This window comes from Homo sapiens, chromosome 13 (assembly GCF_000001405.40).
Source record: "Homo sapiens chromosome 13, GRCh38.p14 Primary Assembly".
NCBI classification, from domain to species: Eukaryota; Metazoa; Chordata; class Mammalia; order Primates; family Hominidae; genus Homo; species Homo sapiens.
In genome coordinates, this window is record NC_000013.11 from 72,871,089 (window position 1) to 72,895,488 (window position 24,400).

At 34.0% G+C, this 24,400-nt stretch overlaps 1 protein-coding gene and 1 pseudogene across 16 annotated transcripts in view; one reads left to right on the plus strand and one right to left on the minus strand.

Annotated features, from left to right (window-relative positions):
• The window catches only part of PIBF1 (progesterone immunomodulatory binding factor 1), a 234,329-nt gene that overhangs the window by 88,956 nt on the left and 120,973 nt on the right, over window positions 1-24,400 (plus strand). For 14 of the 16 annotated variants that reach the window (NR_146205.2, NR_146206.2, NM_001349655.2 and 11 more), the window contains one exon: window positions 22,696-22,861. The exons of the other annotated variants lie outside the window; for them this stretch is intronic. Coding sequence is in view for 12 of the 14 variants with exons in the window: in NM_001349655.2 (NP_001336584.1) it covers window positions 22,696-22,861 (166 nt within the window). In the remaining 2 variants the exon portion in view is untranslated. The remainder of the gene's footprint in view (window positions 1-22,695; window positions 22,862-24,400) is intronic. 16 annotated transcript variants of the gene reach the window in all.
• Window positions 10,020-10,126, minus strand: RNU6-79P (RNA, U6 small nuclear 79, pseudogene; annotated as a pseudogene).

Consider the following 24,400-nt stretch of genomic DNA (forward strand, 5'->3'; position numbering starts at 1 on the left):
GAATTGGATGGTGGCATAGATAATAAAGATGGGAAAATTGGTTTTAGAAATACAACTTGGACGTGATGGGTGGTAGAGATTTTTCCACCTGTTCTCTATTGCCATCCTCCATCCCTCACAAAGAAAAAAATTTTTAATGCATTTAGATCATATTCCAAAATATAGTTTGGGCCATGTTTCTAGTCAAGTGGTGTCTGTCTGTCTGTCTCTCTGTCTCTCTTTCTCTCTCTCTTTTGAGATGGAGTCTTGCTCTGTCGCCCAGGCTGGAGTGCAATGGCGCAATCTTGGCTCACTGCAACCTCCACCTCCCGGGTTCGAGCAATTCTCCTGCCTCAGCCTCCTGAGTAGCTGGGATTACAGGTGCCCACCACCTCACTTGGCTAATTTTTGTATTTTTAGTAGAGATAGGGTTTCCCCATGTTGGCCAGGCTGGTCTTGAACTCCTGACCTTGTGATCCACCTGCCTCGGCCTCCTAAAGTGCTGAGATTACAGACGTGAGCCTCCGCGACCAGCCTCAAGTGATCTTTCTCTAAAAGATTGCAGTCATGATTAGAGCTTCCCCTTCCACATCATCTTTTCCTAGCTCTGGAAAAATAGGTTGGAGCTCACTTGCACCACTTGTCAGTCTTCTGCCATATATACATGCTAATATCCTCTCTTAAACCTTATCAGAGTTCTACGCAAGAACTCTTAGTTGGAGTTTTTACTGCAAGCCCAACTAATAACATAGTCATAATTTTATTTCCTGTTAGCTACTAGCCCCTTTTTCAGAAGCCTCATGGTAAGGGAATGCTTATTTTAATAAAGCATTTAGACATTTTTTGAATTCACCCTAATATCATTTAATAGCACCCAGTCCCTGTATCACCACTAACAGATGGATCCTCTTACAATAGAGGCAATATAAGTTACGTTTAAGAGTACAGTTTCTGGAGGGTAAATAGCCTAGGAGGTTATGATACTGGCTCTATTGTTCCTGGGTGCATGACTTCAGGGAAGTTACTTAACCTCTATGTCTCAGTTTCCTCATGTATAAAATATAATAATAGTAACTTATAGAATTGTGAGGATTAAATGAGTGTTAGAGATAGTGTTTGTTACATAATGTGTTAAATATTAGCTATTGTGATTATTACGGGATTCAGTAACTGACAATAATTGAAAGTATCTTGGAGAGTTATCAATGATTCCTGCAGAATTTTCTGGGTAGTTTGAGATGATAGTGATTTCATTATCAGAAATAGGACTTTGAGAAAACAGAAGTGATTCATGTGTTAATGAAGGCTATAATTTTGATTTAGGAATTGTACTTGAAATGCTAAAGCACCATTTAGGTATAGAAATAGAGTTGACATATAAGAATAAGGATCTCGAACCTGGGAGAAAGAACAAGCCTATACATAAAGATTTGGGATATATCAAGAATGCTGAAACCTGTAGTAAGTGCCCTGAAATTTGGGAAGAGATTTAATAATTGCTGTGGAGTAATATTGTGCTAAATGTTTTAGGAGTTTTGTTTAATTAATTTTATTCTCAGTTTTTATTTCTCATAATTGCTTTGTATGAGGAAATTAAGGCTCCAGGAGGTTTTCTGAAAATGCCATGGCTAGAATTTACAAATAAATTACAAAAACTTTAAGTAACTTTAGCAAGATTATAGGATACAAGTTACTATGAAAAAATTTAATTGTATTTCTGTATGTTAGCGCTATACATTTAAAACTTGGAAATTTTCTAAAATAAACCTTTACAACAGCAGAAAAACATCAAATACTTAGGGATAAAATTAACAAAATATGAAGCAAGTACAGGACCTGTACACTGAAAACTAGTAAATATTGCTGAGGAAAAACAAAAACCTAAATAAGTGGAGTAAGATATCATGTTCATAGATTTGAACACTTAATTTTGCTGTAGTGTCAAATTTTCCCAAACCGACTTACAGAGTCAGTGCAATTCTGATCAAAAACTCAGCAGACTTTTTTTGTAGTCTAATCAGCTAACCTAAAATTTACATGGAAATCGAAAGGACCAGAACATCCAAAACAATTTTGAAAAAGGGAGATGAAGGTGCCTAGATAGTTCAGTGAGGAAATGATAATCTTTTCAACAAATCTTGCTAAACCATTTAGATACCATATACAAAAAAGTGCACCTCCACCCCTACTTCATACATACAAAAATTAATTTGTAATTCATACATCTAAATGTAAGATCAAAAACTAGAAAAAAAGGGAAAACCTTAGAAACCTTGAGTTATCAAAGGTTGCATAAATAGGACATAAAGAACGTGAACCATTAAGAAAAACTTGTTTTCTTTTTTTTTGAGCTGGAGTTTTGCTCTTGTTGCCCAGGCTGGAGTGCTGCAGTGGGCACGATCTCTGCTCACTGCAACCTCCACCTCCCCAGTTCAAGTGATTCTCCTGCCTCAGCCTCCCAAGTAGCTGGGATTTCAGGCATGCGTCGCCACGCCCGGCTAATTTTGTATTTTTAGTAGAGGCGAGGTTTCACCATGTTGGTCAGGCTGGTCTGACCTCAGGCACTCCACCCACCTTAGCCTCCCAAAGTGCTGGGATTACAGGCATGAGCCACCACACCTGGCCTAAGAAAAACTTGATATTCCAACTTGGCTGGTAGTTGGGGGACAAAAAGAAAAACTCGTTAAATTGGACTTTACTCAAAATAAAAAAAAAAATTGCTCTTCTGTTAATAAAGGAGAAAGACAAGCCATAGTCTTGAGGAAAATATTTGAAAACCACATATCTAATAAAGGGCTTACATCCAGAACTCTTGCAACTTAAGAAGACAAGCTACTCAATTTAACATTTTTTAAAATGGCCAAAGGATTTGAACAGCCACTTCATGAAAGTAGAAATACAGATGACCAATAAGCACAAGAAAAGATGCTAAACATTATTAATCACCAGGAAAATGGAAATTATACCAAAATTCATTACCACTACAACCACTAGAATGGCTAGATTTTAAAACACGGATATTACCAAGTGTTGGTAAGGTTGTCAGTTAACTCAAATGTCCACACAGTGCTTATGTGAATGCAGAATCACAGTCACTTTGTGTGACTGTGTCAAACAGTTTGACAGTTTTTAAGAAGGTTAAACATAAACTTAGTATAAGACCCAGCATTCCTATTTCTAGTTATTTACTCAAGAGAAATGAAAAACCTATATACATATAAAGACTTCTGTGTAAATGTTTATAGCTGCTATATTTCTAATGTCCCCAAGCTGAAACAACTAGTGCATCAAACTAAATTTGAGTTTACACATGCCATGGAATACTACATAGCAATAAAAAAGGAGGAAACTACTTATATGTGGAAAATATTTTTATTATAAAAGTTCTATGTTGAAAGAAGACAAACACAAAAGACTACATAGTGTTTGATTCCATTTATGTGACATAATAGAAAAGGCAAAACTAATGACACAAATCCAATCAATAGTTGCCAAGAGCCAGGGGTGGAATGAGAGAACTGACTGAAAAGCAGCAGCACAGAGAGTTTTTGGGAGTGATGGGAATGATGTTAAGATCATAGTCACAGTTGCATGGCCAAAACAGTTGTTGAAACTTATGAACTTGCACACTTAAAATTAGTTAATTTTGTAGGTAAATTATGCTCCAATAAAACTGGTTTTTTAAATGGCTTAAGTGGCTGTTTATTTTTTAGAGCAGTTTTGGGTTCACTGCAAAATTGAAAGGAGGTACAGATTGCTCATATAACCCCTACCCCTACACATGTATAGCCTACCCCATTATGAACATCCCCACCAGAGTGCTACATTTGTTACAATTGATGAATCTACACTGACAAATCATTATCACCCAAACTCTATAGTTTTCATTAGGGTTCACTCTTGGTCCGGCTACTTTTTAATACTTTCATTTCTGGTCCAAGTTCACTCTTAAGGGTTGTACATTCTGTATGTTTGGACAAATCTGTAATGTATATATCTATCAATGTAGTATCATTCAGAATAGTTTCATTACTATATTATTTTACTGTCTCCATGGTTTTATCTTTTTCAAAATGTCATAATCATACAGTTTGTAGTCTTTTCATACTGTCTTTTTTTACTTAGTAGTGTGCATTTAAGGTTTCTCCCTGTCTTTTCATGACTTCATAGCTCATATCTTTCAGTGCTGAATAGTATTCTATTGCTGAGGTGTATCACAGTTCATCTGTTCACCTACTGAAGGACATCTTGTTTGCTTCCAGGTTATGGCAGTTATGAATAAATCTGCTATAAACATCCTTGTGCAGTTGTTTGGGTAGATAAGTGTTTAATTCCTTTGGGCAAATATGCAAAGAGTGTGATCTTATGGTAAGAGTGCTTAGTTTTGTAAGAAACCACGAAATGTGTCAGTGTAGTGTGGGGGAAAAAAAAAAGAAGAAACCACCAAACTGTTTTCCAAAGTGGCTATATCGGTATGCATCTCCACCAGCAGTGAATGAGAATTCCTGTTACTCCATATCTTTGCCAGCATTTGGCATTGCCAGTGTTCTGGATTTGGGCCTTTCTAATACATGTATAGTGGTATCTCATTGTTGTTTTAACTTACATTTTCCTGATGACATATGATGCAGAGCATCTTTTCACGTGTTTATTGGCCATCACTGTATCTTCTTTGGTGATGTGGCTATTAAGGTCTTTAGCCCATTTTTTAATAGGGTTGTTTGTTATCTTGTTGAGTTTTAAAAGTTCTTTGTATATTTTGGATAACAACCCTTCGTGAGATAAGTATTTTGCAAGTATCTTCTCCCAGTCTGGGGTTTTTATTTTCCTTCTCTTGATGGTGTCTTTCACAGTGCAGAAACTTTTAACTTTAATGAAGTCCAGTTTATTCTTTTTTTCATGGATTATGTGTTTGTTGTTTTGTCTAAAAAGTCATGGCCCAGACCAAGGTTATCTAGATTGTCTTATGTGTTATCCTTAGGAGTTTTATAATTTTGCATTTTACATTTAGGTATATGATTTATTTTGAGTTAATTTTTGCAAAGGTGTAAGTCTGTGTTCAGATTCTTTTTTTTTTTTTTTTTTTGCATGTGAATGTCCTATTGCTCTAGCAACATATCTTGAAAAGACTATCTTTCCACCAGTATTCCCTTTGTCTTTTTGTCAAACATCAGTTGACTGTGCGGGTCTATTTCAGGGCTCTCTATTCTGTTCCACTGATCTATTTGTCCCTTCTTTTGCCAATACCACACTGTCCTGTTCCTGTAACTTTATAGTAAGTCTCAAAGTTGGATAGTGTCAGTCTGCTAGTTTTATTCTTCTCTTTCCATATAATATTGGCTATTCTGGGTCTTTTGCCTGTCTATATTAACTTTAGAATCCGTTTGTCTATATCCACAAAATAGATTGTTGGGATTTTGATTGGGATTACGTTGAATCTATAAATCAATCTTGCAAGAACTGACATCTTCACAATATTGCGTCTTCTTACCCATATATGTAGAGTATTTTTACATTATTCTTTGATTGTCTTATCGGAGTTTTTAGTTTTCCTCATATAGATCTTGTACATATTATTTTAGACTTATACCTAAATATTTCATTTTAAGGGGTGTTAATATAAATGTTACTGTGTTTTTAACTGGAAATTCCACTTGTTCCATGCAGATATACAGGAAAGTGATTGGCCTTTGTATATTGCCCTTGTATCCTGCAACATTGCTATAATCACTTACTAGTTCCAGTAGTTTTCAGCCAATTCTTTCAGATTTTCTACATAAACAGTCATATCATCTGCATACACAGTTTTATTTCTTCCTTCCCAATCTATATACTTTTTCTTTTCTTTTCTTATTGCAATTAGCATCAACTTCGAATATGATGTTGAAAAGTTCCTGATCTTAGTAGGACAACTTCAGGTTTCTTACCATTAAGATGTTACTTGTAGGATTTTTGTGTTATTTTTTATCAAGTTGAGGAACTTCCCGCTATTCCTAGTTTACTAAGAGTTTGTATCATCAGTAGATGTTAGATTTTGTGAAATGCTTTCTCTACATCTATTGACAGGATCATGTGGTTTTTTTCTTCCTCAGCTTGTTGATGTGATGGATCACATTAATTGATTTTCAAATTTTGAACCAGCCTTGCATAACTGGGATAAATCCCACTTGGTTGTGGTGTATAGTTCTTTTTATGCATGAATGGTTTCGATTTGTTAATAATTTGTTGAGGGTTTTTGCATCTATATTAATGAGAGATGTTGGTCTCTTGGTTTCTTTTCTTGTAATGTCGTTGTCTGGTTTTGGTATTTGAGTGATGCTGGCCTCATATAATAAATTAGAAAGTATTCCTTCTGCTTCTAGCCTCTGGTGGATACTGTAGAGAACTGGTATACTTTCTTCCTTAAGTAATTGGTAGAATTTACCAGTGAACCCATCTGGGCCTGTCCTTCTGCTTTGGAAGGTTTAAATTATTGATTAAATATTTTAAAACACATGTAGGCCTCTTCAGATTCTCTGTTTCTTCTTGTGTCAGTTTTAGCAGATTGTGTCTTTCAAGGAATTGGTCCATTTTGTCTAATTTATGAAGTTTGAGAGCACAGAGTTGTTCATAGTATTCTTTTGTTTAGTGTCCATGGGATCTGTAATAATGACCACTGTTTCATTTCTTTTTTTTCTTTTCTTTTCTTTTTTTTTTTTTGAGACAGAGTTTTGCTCTTGTTGTGCAGGCTGGAGTACAGTGGCACAATCTCAGCTCACCTCAACCTCCGCCTCTCTGGTTCAAGCAATTCTCCTGCCTCAGCCTCCCGAGTAGCTGGGATTACAGGCATGCACCACCACGCCTGGTTAATTTTGTATTTTTAGTAGAGATGGGGTTTCTCCATGTTGGTCAGGCTGGTCTTGAACTCCCAACCTCAGGTGATCCGCCCACCTCGGCCTCCCAAAGTGCTGGGATTACAGGTGTAAGTCACCATGCCCGGCCTTCATTTCTGCTATTAGTAATTTAGGTCCTCTCTTTTTCTTAGTGTAGCTAAAGTTTTACTGGTTTTATTGATTTTTTTTTTCAAAGAACCACTTTAGATTTCATTGGTTTTTATCTTGATTTTTGTGGTAATTATTTTCTTAGTGCTTACTTTGGATTTAATTTACTCTTTTTTTTCTAGTTTCCTAAGATAGAAGTTTAGATGATTGATTTTAGATCTTTCTTCTTTTCTAATATACGTATTTAATGCTGTGAATTTTCCAAGCACTTCTGCGTTCCACAAGTTGTATTTTTATTTAGTTTAAAATATTTTCTAATTTCTCTTGCATTTTCTTCTTTGATGTATGTGTCATTTAGAAGTGTATTGTTTAATATCCACATATTTTAGAATCTTCCAGTTATCTTTTTATTGTTGATTTCTAGTTTAATTACATTATGGTTTGAGAGTAGAGAGCATATGATTTTTATTCTTTTAACTTTGTTCATGTGTGTTTATAGCCTGGGATGCAGTCTGTCTTCTGCATATCTGTATTTCGTGTGAGCTTTAAAAGAATATGTATTCTGCTATTGTTGATAAATTGTGATTATAACCTGTTGATTGGTGGTGTTGAATTCTACTATGTCTTTAATGATTTTCTGCCTACTGGATATGTCCATTTCTAATACTAGCGTGTTGAAGTCTTCAACTATAGTAGTAGATTCATGTATTTCTTCTTGCAGTTCTATCGTGTATTTTGACATCTGTTCTTGGACATATAAATGTTAAGGATTATTATATCTACTTGGAAAATGGACCCCTTTATCATGTAGTGCCCCTCTTTATCCTTGATAACTTTTCTTGCTCTGAAGTCTGTTCTGTCTGAAATTAATGCAAGCTACTCCCAGTTTCTTTTGAGTAGTGTTATAATGGTATATTTTTCTCTATCTACTTTTAATCTGTATGTATCTTTATATTTAAAGTGCATTTCTTGTAGGCAGTATATAGTTGGGTGTGTTTTTAATCTATTAATTGGTGAATTTAGAGCATTTACATACAATGTGATTATTGATACACTGTAGGTAGATTTGCAGCTACCATATTTATTACTGTTTTCTATTTTTTCCCTCATTCTTTGTTTCTATTTTTCACTCTTTTTCTTTTTTGGTTTTAATTGGCATTATGTTGTTGGGCACATAAATGTTAGGAATTATATATTTTCTGGGAGGAAGAACTTCAAAAAGGAAAGTTTGCAAATGTAAGCTAAATGTGAGATTTCAGGAGGTTAAAGTGTTTTTAGTATCAGGAAGTCAAGGAGATCTACAATCCTCCCAACCAGAGAAGGAATGTTCTGAGTTAGGAGTGTAGGGAAAGAAAGAAAATTAGAATATAAGCAATTTTAAGGTAGAGAGGAGGGAATTGAAATAAACCCTTGTTGGATAGATCTTGACCTTAGTAAAAGGAAGTCATCAAATGACAATGGAGAGGGCTCCAAATGACCTGAGAGTCTTAATAAAAGAAGGCAGTTTTTAGAATGACAACTATAGAGAATACAATAATGTAATACCTTGGGAATAAAAGAATTCCAAGCAGCAATAAGAGCTAGGTCATGGACTTGGTCAGTATGGCATCCCTAATTTTCCACAGCTTCTCTTAATTCAAGTCAGAGGTCGACAAACTATGGCCGATAGGCCAAATCCAGCCTACCATCTGTTTTTGGACAGCCTGCAAGCTAAGATTGGTTTGTGTGGTTTTTTTTAATTATGAGGGGGAAATAAAAATAAAAATAAATATTTAATGACACATGAAAATTATATGAAATGTAGATGTTAGTGTATATAAAGTTTTATTGGAACACAAACTCATTTGTTTACATATTGTCTATGGCTGCTTTTATGCTACAACCGCACATTTGAGTTGTTGCAACAGAAACTTTTTGGCCCACAAAGCCTAAAATACTTACTCTTTGGTCCTTTACAAAACATGTCTGCATGCCAGCTTTCAGCAGCATCAGTTAAGCAGCAGTGATAATTGTCTGTCTGTTTCTTGGAGATCATTCACAAGCCTGAATAGATGGGTCACCATTTATCAATGCTTTCGAGATATCAGCATGCATATCTTTCCCATGCATCTCTTTAGCAGGGTAGGAAAATTATGACTTTGAACGGGTAACTCTGTTTCTTGGTAAGGATAAGATGTTACATTCCACTGAATGGAAGAAAAATCAAATTCTGTGCTTCCAAAATTCCAATATTTTAAAGTATTAGAACATCTCATGGTTTATAGAAAAACATGGAACATGACAAGACATCTTGGCCAGACTAAAAATTGGAACTCTGCAGCCAGGAAACATACAAAGTCACCTGTTATTTTTCTTATGACAAGCTTTAAAACAAAGTGCTTTGGCAAACTTGAATGTTTAACACATAGTGCTTACTGTACCAATACAGTTTTAAGCATTTTACCAATATTAACTCATTTAATTATCCTAATTACCTAATGAGATTATCACTGTTATGCTCATTTTATAATTATGAAAGCTGAGACACAGGTAGTAAAGAGTGGTATGGAGTTTGAACTGATGCAGTCTGGCTTCAGAACCCTTGCTTAATATAGTTACTTGTGAATATTTAACCCTCTGAATCTAAAATAAAATTTGAAACTATAAAAATAAATACTTAAAGTCACATTACATTGAAAAATACTTCAATCTCATGAAGCTTCAAGATTATTTGAGACCTTTTTTGTTCTAGATCCCTTATTATATATGTATGTATTCAACTTTTAGGTTCAGGGGATATATGTGCAGATTTGTTACTTAGCCCAGAAATTTGAGGCAGACTTGAATGCAGATTTCAGCTTTGCTACTTACTTGGGCAAGTTGTTAACTTCTCTGAGTCTCAGAATCTTTATCTCTAAAAAGAGAATAACTGCTTGCCCACTTTCACCACTGTTATTCAACATTGTACTAGAATTCCCAGCTAAAGCAACTAGACAAGGAAAAGAAATAAAGGGCAGTCAAATTGTTAAGGGAGTAGTCAAATTATCCTTGTTATTAGATGATAGGATTTTTTTTTTTTTTTTGAAAACAAAATGCTTCATGATTTTGTATGTCATCCGTGTGCAGGAACCATGCTAATTTTCTCTGTATCATTCCAATTTGAATATATGTGCTGCTGAAATGAGCACAATGATAGGATCTTCTATTTGGAAAACCTAAAGACTCCACCAAAAAACTATTAGAATTGATGGGCAAATTCAGTAAAGTTGCAGGATACAAAATCAGTGTACCAAAATCAGTAGCACTTCTATATGCCAACAATGAACAATCCGAAAAATAAATTAAGAAAGTATTCCCATTTACAATAGCTACAAATAAAATTAAATACCTAGGAATTAAACAAAGAAGTGGCCGGGTGCAGTGGCTCATGCCTGTAATCCCAGCACTTTGGGAGGCCAAGGCGGGTGGATCACGAGGTCAGGAGTTTGAGACCAGCCTGGCCAACATGGTGAAACCCCGTTTCTACTAAAAATACAAAAATTAGCCAGGCGTGGTGGTGTGCACCTGTAATCCTAGCTACTTGGGAGGCTGAGGCAGGAGAGTCACTTGAACCCATGAGGTGGAGGTTGCAGTGAGCCGAGCTAATGCCATTTCACTCCAGCGTCAGTGACAGAGCAAGACTCCATCTTGAAAAAAAAAAAAAAAAGTAAAAGATCTCTACAATGAAAACTATAAAACACTGATGCAAGAAATTGAGGAGAACATACAAAAGATGGAAAGATATATTCCATGTTCATGGATTGGAAGAATCAATGTTGTTAAAATGTCCATACTTACCCAGAGCAGTCTACAGATTCAATGCAATCCCTCTTAGTATACCAATGACATTCTTCACAAGAGTAGAAAAAAAAATCCTAAAATGTATATGGAACCACAATAGACCCAGAATAGCCAAAGCTATCCTACGCAAAAAGAGCAAAACTGAGGAATCACATTGCCTGACTTCAAAATATACTACAGTGCTATAGTAACCAAAACAGCATGGTACCAGCATAAAAACAGACACACAGACCAATGGAAAAAAAAAATAGAGAAATCAGAAACAAATCCATACATCTCCAGCAAACTTATTTTTGAGAAAGCTGCCAACAACATACATTGGGGAAAGGACAGTCTCTTCTATAGATTATACTGGGAAACTGCATGTCCATATGCAGAAGAATAAAATTAGACCCCTATCTCTTGCCATATACAAGGGTAAAATCAAAATGGGTTAAAGACTTAAATCTAAGACCTCAAACTATAAAACTACTAAAACATTGGAGAAACGCTCTAGGACATTGTTCTGAGCAAAGATTTCTTGAGTGATACCGCACAAGCACAGGCAGCCAAAGCAAAAATGGACAAATGGGATATCATCAAGTAGAAAACCTCCTGCATAGCAAAGGAAACAGTCAACAAAGTGAAGAGACAACCCACAAAATGGGAGAAAAGATTTGCGAACAATCCATCTGACAAGGAATTAATAACCAGAATATATAAAGAGTTCAAACAACTCAGTAGGAAAAAAATCTAATAATCCAATTTTTAAATGGGCAAAAGATCTGAATAGACATTTCTCAGAAGAAGGCATACGTATGGTAAACAGGGTTATGAAAAGGTGCTCAATATCACTGATCATCAGAGAAATGCAAATCAAAACTACAATGAGACATCGTCTCACCCCAGTTAAAAGGGCATTTATCCAAAAGACAAGCAATAACAAATGCTGATGAGGATGTGGAGTAAAGAGAACCCTCCTACACTGTTGGTGGGAATGTAACTTAGTACAACCACTATGGAGAACAGTTTGGAGGTTCCTCAAAAAACTAAAAGTAGATTTATGCTGGATCATATGGTAGCTTTATGCTTGATCAATGATTGCTGGATCATATGGTAGCTCTATTTTTAGTTTTTGTGTATATCCCAAAAGAAAGGAAATCAGTATATCAAAGAAATATCTGCACTTCCATACTTATTGCAGCACTGTTTACAGTAGCCAAGACTTGGGAGCAACCCAAGTGTCCATCAACAGATACCGGATAAAGAAAATGTGGTACATATACATAATGGAGTATTCTTCGGCCATAAAAAAGAATGAAATTCTGTCATTTGCAACAACATGAATGGAACTGGAGGTCATTATATTAAGTAAAATAAGCGAGGCACAATAAGACAAACTTTGCATGTTCTCACTTGTTTGTGGGAGCTAAAAATTAAAACAGCTGAACTCATAGAGATAGAAAGTAGAATGATGGTAACCAGAGACTGGGAAGGGTAGTTGGGAGAATGGGGCATGGGTAATGGGTACAAAAATAATAGGGAGGTTGAATAAGATTTATTTGGAAGCACAACATGGTGACTATAGTCAGTAAGAATTTAATTGTACATTTTTTTTAGACAGAGTCTCTCTCTGGCTTTATACTGGATCAGTGATTGCTGGATCAGATGGTAGCTCTAGCCCTGGCTGGAGTGTAGTGACATGATCTCTGCCCACTGCAAACCTCCGCCTCCCAGGTTCAAGTGATTGTCCTGCCTCAGCCTCCTGAGTAGCTGGGATCACAGGCATGTGCCACCACACCAGCTAATTTTTTCTATTCTTAGTAGAGAGGGGCTTTCACCATTTTGACCAGGCTGGCCTCAAACTCCTGACCTCAAATAATCCGCCCACCTCAGCCTCCCAAACTTCTGGAATTACAAGCGTGAGTCACCACGCCTGGCCTAATTGTACATTTTAAAATAACTAGACCAGGTGTGGTGGATCACATCTGTAATCCCAGCACTTTGGGAGGCTGGGGCGGGAGGATCACTTGAGGTCAGCCTGGCCAACATTGCAAAACCCCGTCTCTATTAAATATACAGATATATACGTACACACATACATACATACATGCATAAAATAACTAAAAGAGTATAATTGGATTGTTTGTAACACAAAAGATAAATCCTTGAAGTAATGGATACCTCATTTACCCTGATGGAATTATTACACATTGTATGCCTGTATCAAAATATCCCATATACGTACTACGTACCTATAAAAATTAAAGATTTTTTAAAAAGAATAATCCTAAATTTTGTATTAGCAGTTTGGAGATGATTAAATGAAAAAACTGTTTATACCTGTATATGACAGTAAATAAAAGCACTCAAATGTTAGACTCCTTTCCTTCGTATTGGTCTCTACACACCCTGATAGGCATCATGCCAATTCAAGTTTCCTCTTAGTATAATAAATGCCTTTAAAGTTCATCACTGGCTTTTTATTAATATCGCAAGCCTCTCACAACCCACTTAGTCATGGTTACAATGGAAAGTGAGATAAAAGGAATAAGTGACAGAGCAATAATAAAAGCACCAAATTTCAGCCAACCTAGAGAGGAAAAGCAACACTTTCTGCAAGGGGAGGACATAAGAAAAGTGTAGGGAGAAAAGCAAGGCCCAGGAAAATGTTTGAGAGAAGACATTTCTTCAAAATAATAATGTAAGATGTTAAAAATTAGAGTTTGTTTAATTAAATTAATACTGAGTTGCTTTGATTATATTAGGCTCTTTATTATTTCATTTTTATCCTGAAGTGTTGGAGATGGTTAAATAAATACCAAGGTATGTAGACATTTTCTGGAACTTTTAAACTTTCTCATTTTATAAACAGCTGTAGAAAATAAAAATATAATTATAACATAATATGTGTTTACTGAGTGCCTAACATAAGATTATATTTACTATCTATTTGTTTGAACATCCCAAGATAGAATTTAACAGAAATACTAACAAGTAATTATTTGGTCCATTAAGTCTAATGAGAGAAATAAGAGGTGGGGAAATAGTGATTTAGTTCTTATTATGTGATTTAGTTCTTATTATGTCTTCTATTTATGTCTTCTTTACTTCTGTTTTGTATGCCCTCATGATAAACTTTATTACATTCTTGTAGGTAGGCTAGTGAGTCACGCATAGATTCCTAAAATTGTGTATAAAATTTGTAATAATTTTAACTTGTTACAGAACTCAGATAGAGCCTGTCATATCACACTACTTTTGCTCCCTTTTTTGCATTTCTTTTTTGTAAGTATTTTTAGAATGTTGTCATGTCTCCTTCTACCACCTTAGCCATTATCCACACTGTATATTTTTTGGAAGTTTAATCTTTTTTGTAGTTTGGACATACCTAACCTATAATCATTTTGGCTTCTCTTTTCTTCACTCTCTGTAATTTGTTTTCATCTTTTACGGACACCTAAACCTGGAAACAATAATCTTAATTCACTGGTTTTTTCATACTTCAGAAGAGACTGCCCCTCATCAAATTAGTATTTAATATTTTAATGTTTTCTATCCTGGCTTGAACCTATTTAGCATTCTAATTTTATAACACCTAAAAACCTCATGGTTACTATGACTCCATTCATTCACTCAGTAAGCATTAAGAGTTAGTAATATTCTGGATATACCATTATCTCATTAAGAGCTTATAATATGCCAGAATATTTACTAGATCCTAGGAATCCAAAGATGGATTAGACAAGATTCCTGCACTGAAGTAACTTGTATTTTAATTGTACAGTGTGTTGTTGTGAGCATTTTACTTTTGTTAGCTCACATTATCATCCAGAACTCAACATGCCCAAGTTTTCCCCCAAGAATTTTGATTCAGAAAGTCTCAGGCAGAACCGTGGCATCTAGAGTTCTTAGAAGTTCCACAAGTGATTCTGATGGTCCTCCCTGGTTAGGCTAGGTAAAGTCAACCTCAGGAGTCATCCGCATCCTTAGAAAAGAAAAAAGTGTTGCTAATGATCCATCTTTACTACCAGACCATCTAGGCTTAAAGACCCATGACTCTGGTTGCTGTATTCAGGAGTTTTTTGGAGTATTCCTTAGCCCATTTCAGAACACTAATTTGGATAAATTAACATTTATAGGGCTTCCCTATTGTTAGGAAGCAGATCTAAATAAATGACTTTTACATCCCTTTTTGCCTTTTACAATATGTATGTTAACCATAGTAAATTCATTTCTTTTCTTGAGCTATATATTACTGAAAAATAGGACAAAAGCATGATTAGCCTCCATCGTGCTACTATTAATACTTTACACTATTCTTCATAAAAGCATCCCCCTAAAAGTGCTTTTTCTAATGACTTTTTAAGATTCAGTTTATATGTTCTGAATTTTTTTCTTTAGTGTAGATCAACACTGAGATATACGTTAAAAGCTGCATGAAATAGAGTTTTGAGTGCTATGAAGCACTAATATAATAAATACTCTTGGTTCGGAGGATAATTCAAGCTGAATTTTAAGGGTTTGTTGTCATGTTGACACAAAAGGGAAAACAGACCCAATCAGACCTAGTGTTATAAAGTTTTTATAACACTGTTATAAAAATTTTATAACAGTGTTATAAAATGTTTCACTCTAATTTTATCTCATACATGCTTTTATTTTATGGCAACATTCCTTTCCTTACATTTGTTTCAGTTAAGTACTCTTCACATACCTGTAGTACCTATTTTTTTGACTTTATAAGATGGCCAGATATTACTACATGTTGTTTATTTTATTAATGGCATTACATATTTTATTTGATCATGATATGATAGATGCATTGAATTACTCCAAATACATGCTTGAAATTCTTATAAATCCATGGTACAGTTGTCAAACATACTCAGCATTTTTAACTCAGCAAAAAAAGACCTCTCACATTCATTTAAGAATTAGCTTGTAAGCCAAAAATGACAGATGTAGTATTGCAGCTGAGAAGTGAACTGGTTGAAGAAATCATCTAAATGGCAGAAACGTTTGGAGAAATACCCAAACTTCTTTTAAATTCCTTTCTCACGTTCTTTAGTCATCATTGTTGCGACATTAATGTTGGCTTTAAAAGTTTTTCCTAGTTTGTTTCTTTACAATTTGGAAAATTTCACATTGAAAACACCTGAGTTAATAGAACTGTGTTACTCTATAGTTTTTCTTTTTTTTTTTTTTTCCAACTCACTGGAAATCTGTGGGCTCTATAATTTTATATGTACATTTTGAACTAATGTAATTGCTCCCCTAATTTTCATCAAAAATAATTTTGATTCAGTATCCAGGTATATATTTAAAATTTTTAAATATACAGATAACTAAAAAGCAAAAGAAAACAGTTGGTAGAACAATAGGTAGCAGTAATGCACAAAAGTAAAATCTCTAAGATAACATTTTGTATTTTAATAACATGAAAGGAAAGTAATTTCAGATATGTTCTCTGTAAGTTATGATATGGATATATATGTGTGTGAATATAGTTTACATAAAACTTGTATACTTTTTGTTTTCTTAAAGTAAAAAAATTAGAAGTTATAGATTGGGTATAATAGGGTAAGTGTGCTTATTTTTGTATTCTGAGATCTTTCAAATATTTTCAGGGTATAAAAAATAACTAACCAAAGACCTATACCATATACTAGCCACTGATGTAGTAATACTTCATCTCTGTTTAGCTAATAACACTTTGTTTTGAGAAGTAAAGGATATATCTAAGCCAAAATTATTTAAATGGAAAGTACTTAATTTTTTATTTTTAAATTTCTCATATAAAAATTTTTTGAGTTGCCTTCAGTAAAATTAATTTTTAAGTTGAACCATGTAATGTAAAAATGTAATTTTCTCCTCTCACCTCTCTTTTCCCAGATATCTTTACCTGTATGGGATATTATTTCTTATTTCTTCAGGATGTACACTTCCTTTCTTTTTATATAACTCAGTGTCCTTGTGTGATTTTAGATATATCCATGATTCACGTCTAAATATGTATATAATGAGTCAAGTTTTTATTTTTAAAAGAAACACATCAGAATATATGGACACAAATAAGAATACCCTCCACCAAGGTCAATACAGTAGAAGCCCGTATGCTTTTTCCGACCGTGTTGGTATTGCTCAATTCAGTTATTTTACAGCACAGTTCTTGGAATAACTTTTCATTTTAACAGTCTTCTTCCTTCAAAGAGAAGTTTTTGTTTTTGGAAATTCAACCATTCAGAGTAAAGCCCATTGAATTTGGTGGGTGAATAAACTAGGTATACTGTTTGTTGTGAACAATGGGTGAGAAATTGGGGAGAGGTTAACTATTTAACAATGAAAGAATTGTTGAGAATGGAAAATTATGAGGCCAATTGAAAATCTTATTTTTGAAGGAGGTTTAATAACATAAGAAGATTTTTAAGATAATATTGGGGGAAGGAGAGCAAATTTTATATGAAAGCATAATTCATATGTAATATGCATAGCAAACATTTATAGAGAATAATATCAAATATTGGTGAGGAGATGGAGAAACCATATTTCATACACTTAGAGTTGCATTTTAAATTGATGTAGCCATTTGAGAGGAAAAATGGCAGTATCAAAATTTAAAATCTTTTGACCCAACAATTTCACTTCATGGTATCTTTCTTAAATGTTTGCTTGTGCATGGGAGGCAATTCTTAGGATGATCTTTGAAGCACTGTGTATAATGCTTTGAAGCATTTTGAAACAATCTAAATGTTAATCCGTTTAGAATTAAATAAATTGGAATTAATTAAATGATTATGTCCACATTGTGGTCTATTATATAGCAAATGAAAAGAATGAGGTATAGACATGGAAAAAACGGATCCCAAGACAGTCTACATGAAAAAAGGAAGTTACAGAGAAGAATATGTGTGATATGCCATTTGTTTAAAAAAAAAAAACTGATATATCAATTCATATGTGATATACATACATGTTTAAAAAAAAACAAACCTCTTAGATACACAGAAAACTAGTCACAGTGATTATCTCTCAAAGGAGAAATGGAATTGAGAGTAGTGATAGAGGTCTGGGCTGGGTGCAGTGACCCACACCTGTAATCCCAGCACTTTGGAAGGCTGAGATAGGAGGATGGCTTGAGCCCAGGATTTCGACACCAGCCTGGGCGACATAGTGAGACCCTGTATCTACAAAAAATACAAAAAAAAAAGAAAAGAAGTCTGTAATATTTATTTGTAATGTTTGGAGTTTTTAGCCTCACAGTGGATTTGATAAATTATTTATAGAATTGAAAATAAATTTGAAAATATTTACTTGTGCAGAGAAGAAAATTTATGAAAATATAAACAGCTTATCCTTATAAGCAAGATTGAATTCTCAGTTGACTAGACACATCAGCTTCTGTCCTTGTCGACTCCAATTTCTTATAGCTGAATCTACCAAAGACTGAATGTATCTGGAGATTTAGGCCCATCTTTGTTTCACAGTTCTTTCAAGTGTAGAAAGTTTGTCAACCTCTGCCCCACTTGCTTGTGGAGTTTAAAACTAAACTTTCCTGCCCACACAAAAGACTTAGCAGTCTATCTCTGACTACCTACTTCTGTGTATTCTTCTAAGCTCCAGTATTCTTTCTTTATTGACCCATCTCCCCATATTTCAACATAAAGTTGAAAATATCTTTCAGTGCTTTGTTATTAGTTAATTTGCCTAATAACTGAATACTAAAAATCCTTCCCTGAACCCTTACTGGTACTGGAGATCTTGTGACTTTGCTTAACTTCTCTTGCCAGTCTACCTTGGGGCAGGGTCTTACTTCCCATACTCTTTATCTGTACACAGTTGTCCTGCCACATACAGATAAATGCTTTGCCTCAGCTGCTGCACTATCTTACTTTCAACCTGGATCAGTTGTTAAATTTCTTAATGCAAGTACCATATTCTGGCCCTGGTCATTACATGAACCTCACCACTGAGTTTTAGTACTTTTTAGGTATTCTGCCTTAGAAAACCTGTTTACCGAATGAGATTTGATAACTGGGTTCAAAATTTTTAATGTAATACAAGCCATGAACATTTTGTGTACAGAATTCAAAAATCAGTTGTTTCTCATTGAAATAAAAAAGATTAAATAAGCAGTTAAAATGGGTTAAATATGGGTCTTTCACTGTGTTACCCAATGATGACCTTGTTAATAAGAGTTGGGAATAAACCATATACATGCGTGGCTTAATACATCAGAGTCTAACAAGTAAAACTTCCCCTGTAGAGTCTACATGTAAAGACTGCCAATGTAAATTTTGTTATGAAAACCTGTTATTTGATGTTTTATCCAGTACTTTTATTACCAAATATGTTTTCCTGTTTCTGAGACTCCACTGTCACATTGATGTCTCTCCTGTGGTTATTTCTCAGCATCCCAGAACATGTCCTGCTACTGGGAGTTTAATTCATCCTAGCCTGAGAGCACTTCTTATGGATTACTTTCTTTGTAGCTCCCTGTGTAATAGCTGATTTTCACCCTTTAACATTTTTTCTCCCTGTACTTCCAAACCCGGAAGTGCTGTTGCAGTGAATATTCCTTCAGAGCAAACCATCAGTTCTAGTCCTTTCTGTTATTTTTAAAGTAGTATTTGGTATATGGTTGGGTCTTATGAAAACTAAAAACCCGGTTACAAATGTAGCATAAGGACAAATGGAGCCAAATTTTAGGCCTGGGGATGAGATGGTTGTGAGAATAGGTGGAGATTCTCTGTGGAAAATTTTACCTCTTAAGGTTACTATGCTAATAAATTAGAATATCAAACGTGAAGTTGTTAATGTATGAATAATACTGACTTACCTCAAATAAGATGTTCAGATTGAGAGTACGAGATGAGAAGTCTGAGTCAACAAAGTAAAATGTGATGGGTTATATTAGCAAAACAAGTTAAGTGGGAGTTACCTGAAACTAGCTCCTGGGCATCATCAGTTCCTCACTGTTGGAGCTACTTTTGTAGCTATGTTTGTTCAACATTTTCAGAGTTCAGTTTAACAAAATACTTACACAGGCTTAATAATTTGAGGCAGATCCTTTCACTTACATAAACAACATGGAAATAGACTAGTCCTTTAGAATTACCATTTCATTTTACAAAGCTTCAGTTTATGAAACTTAGACTATATTCAAATTTTTAGGAGATAATTCTTGTTACCACCTAGATGGTTTATTGTTTAACTTCTGTTAAATTTTCTGTATTCTACATGTCTAAATATTGTTTACTGTTTAACTTTTCAATATAAGGAAATAATATTAGTGCCAAAAGTAACTTTCAGGTGCCATGTAATGAATAAAAACAGGTGATGCTAAAAGCTAAGTCTTTAATTACCTATTTGGAGTTGGCAGTGATATCCGAAGCAACATCCCGAATCCATAAAAAGGCAAAATTTGCAGTTTAATCTTTTAGGATAAATTATCTTAAAGATCAATATCACATTCTAAATTACTTATCCAGAATTTATTTCATAATATGGTCTCTGTATGTCCTAGTCTCACATACAAAGAAAGTATTGATTTCACACATTTAATTCATTTATATTTATAAAACAACTTGCCTCAAAGAGTACAGGGACATTTGTATGTCATAAAATGTTGAATTAATACTTTTTTTTAGTAAAAGGTATTTTTTTTACCACTTCACGCACACTAGAATGCATAATCAAAAGGCAGACAATGATAAGTGTTGTTAAGAATGTGGAGAAATTGGCACCCTCGTTACTGCTGATGGGAATGTAAAATGGTGCAACCCTGTTGGAAAAAAGTTGGGCAGTTTCTCAAAAAGTTAAAAATAGAGTGACATATGACATAGCAATTGTGTTCCTAGGTATATAACCAAGAGAAATGAATTCATGTTTACACAAAAACTTGTACATAAATGTTCATGGTAGCATTATTCATCATAGCCGAAAATCAGAAACAACCCAAATGTCCATCAACTGATGATGGATAAGCAAAATGTGATGTAGTTAAACATTTGAATGTTATTCGGTTATAAAAAGTAATGAAATGTTGATTCATTCTACAACATGAATGAACCTTGAAAACATCAGAAGGCCACATATTATATGATTCCATTAATACGAAATGTTCAGAGTAAGCAAACTTTTAGAGACAAAAAGTAGATCAGTGGTTGCCAGGCCTGGATGAAGAGAAGAATAGGGAGTGACTAATGAACATGGGGACTTTGTAGGGTAATTAAAATGCTTTTAATTAGATAATGATGTGCAAATTTGTAAATAAGCTAAAAACCACAGAACTGTGTATGTTAAAAGAGTGAATTTTATGGTATATGAATTATGTCTCAGTAAAAAATTTATCAGTGTTTGTTTTTCTATATAAAAAGGTATTTTTTAATAAAATTGTAAAAAGTTTTATATAATTAATGCCAGGATTTTCCAAAAAAGTTAGTCACAAAAACTGACATTCACTTTAAAACTTTACTGTATATTAATGTGTAATGTGCATTGTATGGAACTTCCACCGATCTGAGACTTGAAGTAGCCCATGGTGTATATCTAATGCCTATCTTCTCTGATTATATTTTGAATGGTATTTTCACTCACTGACAGGAGTGAAATAGCCTTTAAAAAGCATTTTAAAGTTTATCTTACCTCAGAAATGTCAGTTATGAATATTATGTAATAGCAGAAAGACTATCGCTGTGAAGTCTAATATAAAATTGGGCTTCATCCTGAAATTTACTAGCAGTGTGTTCCTATTAAAGAAATTATTTGACATCTCTGAGCCTCAGGTTCTTCATCTGCAAAATACCTAGTAGATCCGTTATAAGAATTAAATGAGATACCATAGATAAAACAGACTATGCTCTCTGCTTCACTGCCCTGCATATAACTCACATTTCTTCTCCCTAGAATACTTCCCACCCCTTACCTCCTCCTGCCTTACACACACACACACACACACACACGCACACGCACACACACCCCTCTATACAAACCAAGTTAGGTCTCCTTCATATGTGTTCCCACTGAACCTAGGGATTACCCTATTGAAGCACTTACCATTGAATTTTCGTGTTTATTTGCCTGTTTTCCCCAGAAAACTATAAGTTCTTTTAAAAAACAATATTTTATCTACCAATGTATACACCTTACCTAGCATACTGACTAGCTTAATAAATATTTGAATAAATGAATTTTAATATCATACCCAGCATTATACTTGGTTCATAATAACTCCCTGAAAAGATACAGTGTATGTGTATTTTGCTTTTCTGTTAGAACACAATCAACCTTAAGTATTTTCAAATTTATAGTATGTGGTGATTTATATGTTAAGTGGAAATGTTTTTATTACCGGTTATACCTATGGAATGAAGAGAATGTTCCTTATCTGAGTTGTAATAGCCTACTTGTAGGTCTATATTTATCTTCACAGTTTGTACATTTTTTTCTTGTAATATCAAAATATATGTATATGTACTAAGTTTATTTTGCAAGTGTTTCAAGAATTTGTAGTTTAATATGCATATTTCATTGCTTTCTTCTCCATCTGACATTATTTAGACTTAGGATGAAATAGCAAGCTGGGAAACAATGCCATAGATTTAAAAAGGCCTATGAGAAGTATAGAAATTAAATCATTCTAAGCAATGTAACTGAAATTTGCTCTTGCCATTTACAAAATGATAGGAAATAATTATTTTGGCTAGAAAGAATGAAAATAAGGGTAGAATGGTGAAAGTTAATTGATATGTTCACTGTAATTACTTATTTTCATACATATACCTACCTAAATTATTTATAAAAGCTTTGCTGAATAAATATAAATTATTAACTCCACAAATATGGGGGAGTAGAAAACATAGAAGTAAGGTTTATGATTACTTAAATCATTGAGACTGCTTTCTTTAGAGTGTCATAACCATTCTGCTTCTTTCAGGTACAGAGAACTACAACTTAGTACAGAAAGCAAAGTAACAGAATTTCTCCATCAAAGTAAATTAAAATCTTTTGAAAGTGAGCGTGTTCAACTTCTGCAAGAGGAAACAGCAAGAAATCTCACACAGTGTCAATTGGAATGTGAAAAATATCAGAAAAAATTGGAGGTACATGTACAAGCTTTTCTTTCAACATTAGCATGGCATGTAAACTCCCTAAGTACAAGATTTATATTGAGCTTTATTTCTCCTATAGGATGTATCACTATCCTGCACAAAAAAAAAAAAAAAAAAAAAACAAGGAAATACGTATTTCAGAAAGATGTATACTGAAAAGGACTAGAATTGTTGAGAAACAAAAAAAGCAAGAAAAGATGTCATTCACAATAGCAACCAAAAATATATAATGACTTGGAATATTTTAAATAAGAACAGTGCAGAATGTATACGAAGAAAACTATAGAACTTCACTGACATGTGAAATGAAACACCATGTTTCTGGGAGGGAATGAAGTATACATTTTTTCAGTTTTCATCAAATAATATGATATGTTTCTATCTAATCAAATGCCAGCATATTTTTTAACTGAAAATAATTCTATAGAACAACTGGAAGGAAAAACATACAGAATAGTCAATATTTTTAAAAGTACTTTTTAAAAAGAAATAATGGAAATATATATCACATTTTAAAGTGTGTTCTGAGGCAAGAATAATTAAACTGCACACAAAATTAGTTCACAAATGGTATAAAATGTAAAGCCCCAAAACATATTTACATAAATTTAAGAATTTATACATGGTAAAGGTCATATTTCAAATCAGTAGGGAAAGTATGGATTGGACAATAAATGATGCTGTGATAATCATTTGAATATTTAGAGAAAATAGTTGACTCAATACCTCATACCGTATAGCAAAATTAAACTCAGATGGATTACTAGGCTGCATATATGTACAATATATAATATATATATTATATATATATATAGTGTGTGTGTGTGTGTGTGTGTGTGTGTGTGTGTAGCTATAAAGGTATTAGAAGTAAATACAGATGATCCAGGGGCAGTGAGTGACTCACGCCTGTAATCCCAGCACTTTTGGAGGCTGAGGTAGGTGGATCACCTGAGGTCAGGAGTTCTAGACCAGCCTGGCCAACATGGTGAAACCTCGTCTACTACTAAAAAAATGTAAAAGTTAGGTGTGGTGGCATGCACCTGTAGTCCCAGCTACTTGGGGGTTGAGACAGGGAGGATTGCTTAAGCCCAGGAGGTCGAGGCCACAGTGAGCTGAGATCACATCACTGCACTCTGGCCTGGCAACAGAGCAAGACTACATCAAAAAAATTTTTTAAAGTAAATACAGATGAAATTATATCTTATGTTTACTTTGGGAATTAATCTGTTAATCTGATGAAAGCCAGGAAAGAAATTATATAGGAAAAATAAAACCTGAATTTGTTTTTAAAATTCATAAATTTTAAAATTCATAAATTCATAAAATTCATAAATTTTTAAATTTATATTTAAACTTAAATAATATTTAAAATAATATATATAATATTAAAGGCAAAATAGAAACTGAAAAACAGTATTTGTGTTATATATGACAAAGGGCTTATGTCCTTAAGTTTAAAAGATATTTTATCAAGAGGACATGCCTTCGCCTTCTACATAAATAAGTGGGAAAAAAAAGGAATGGACCATT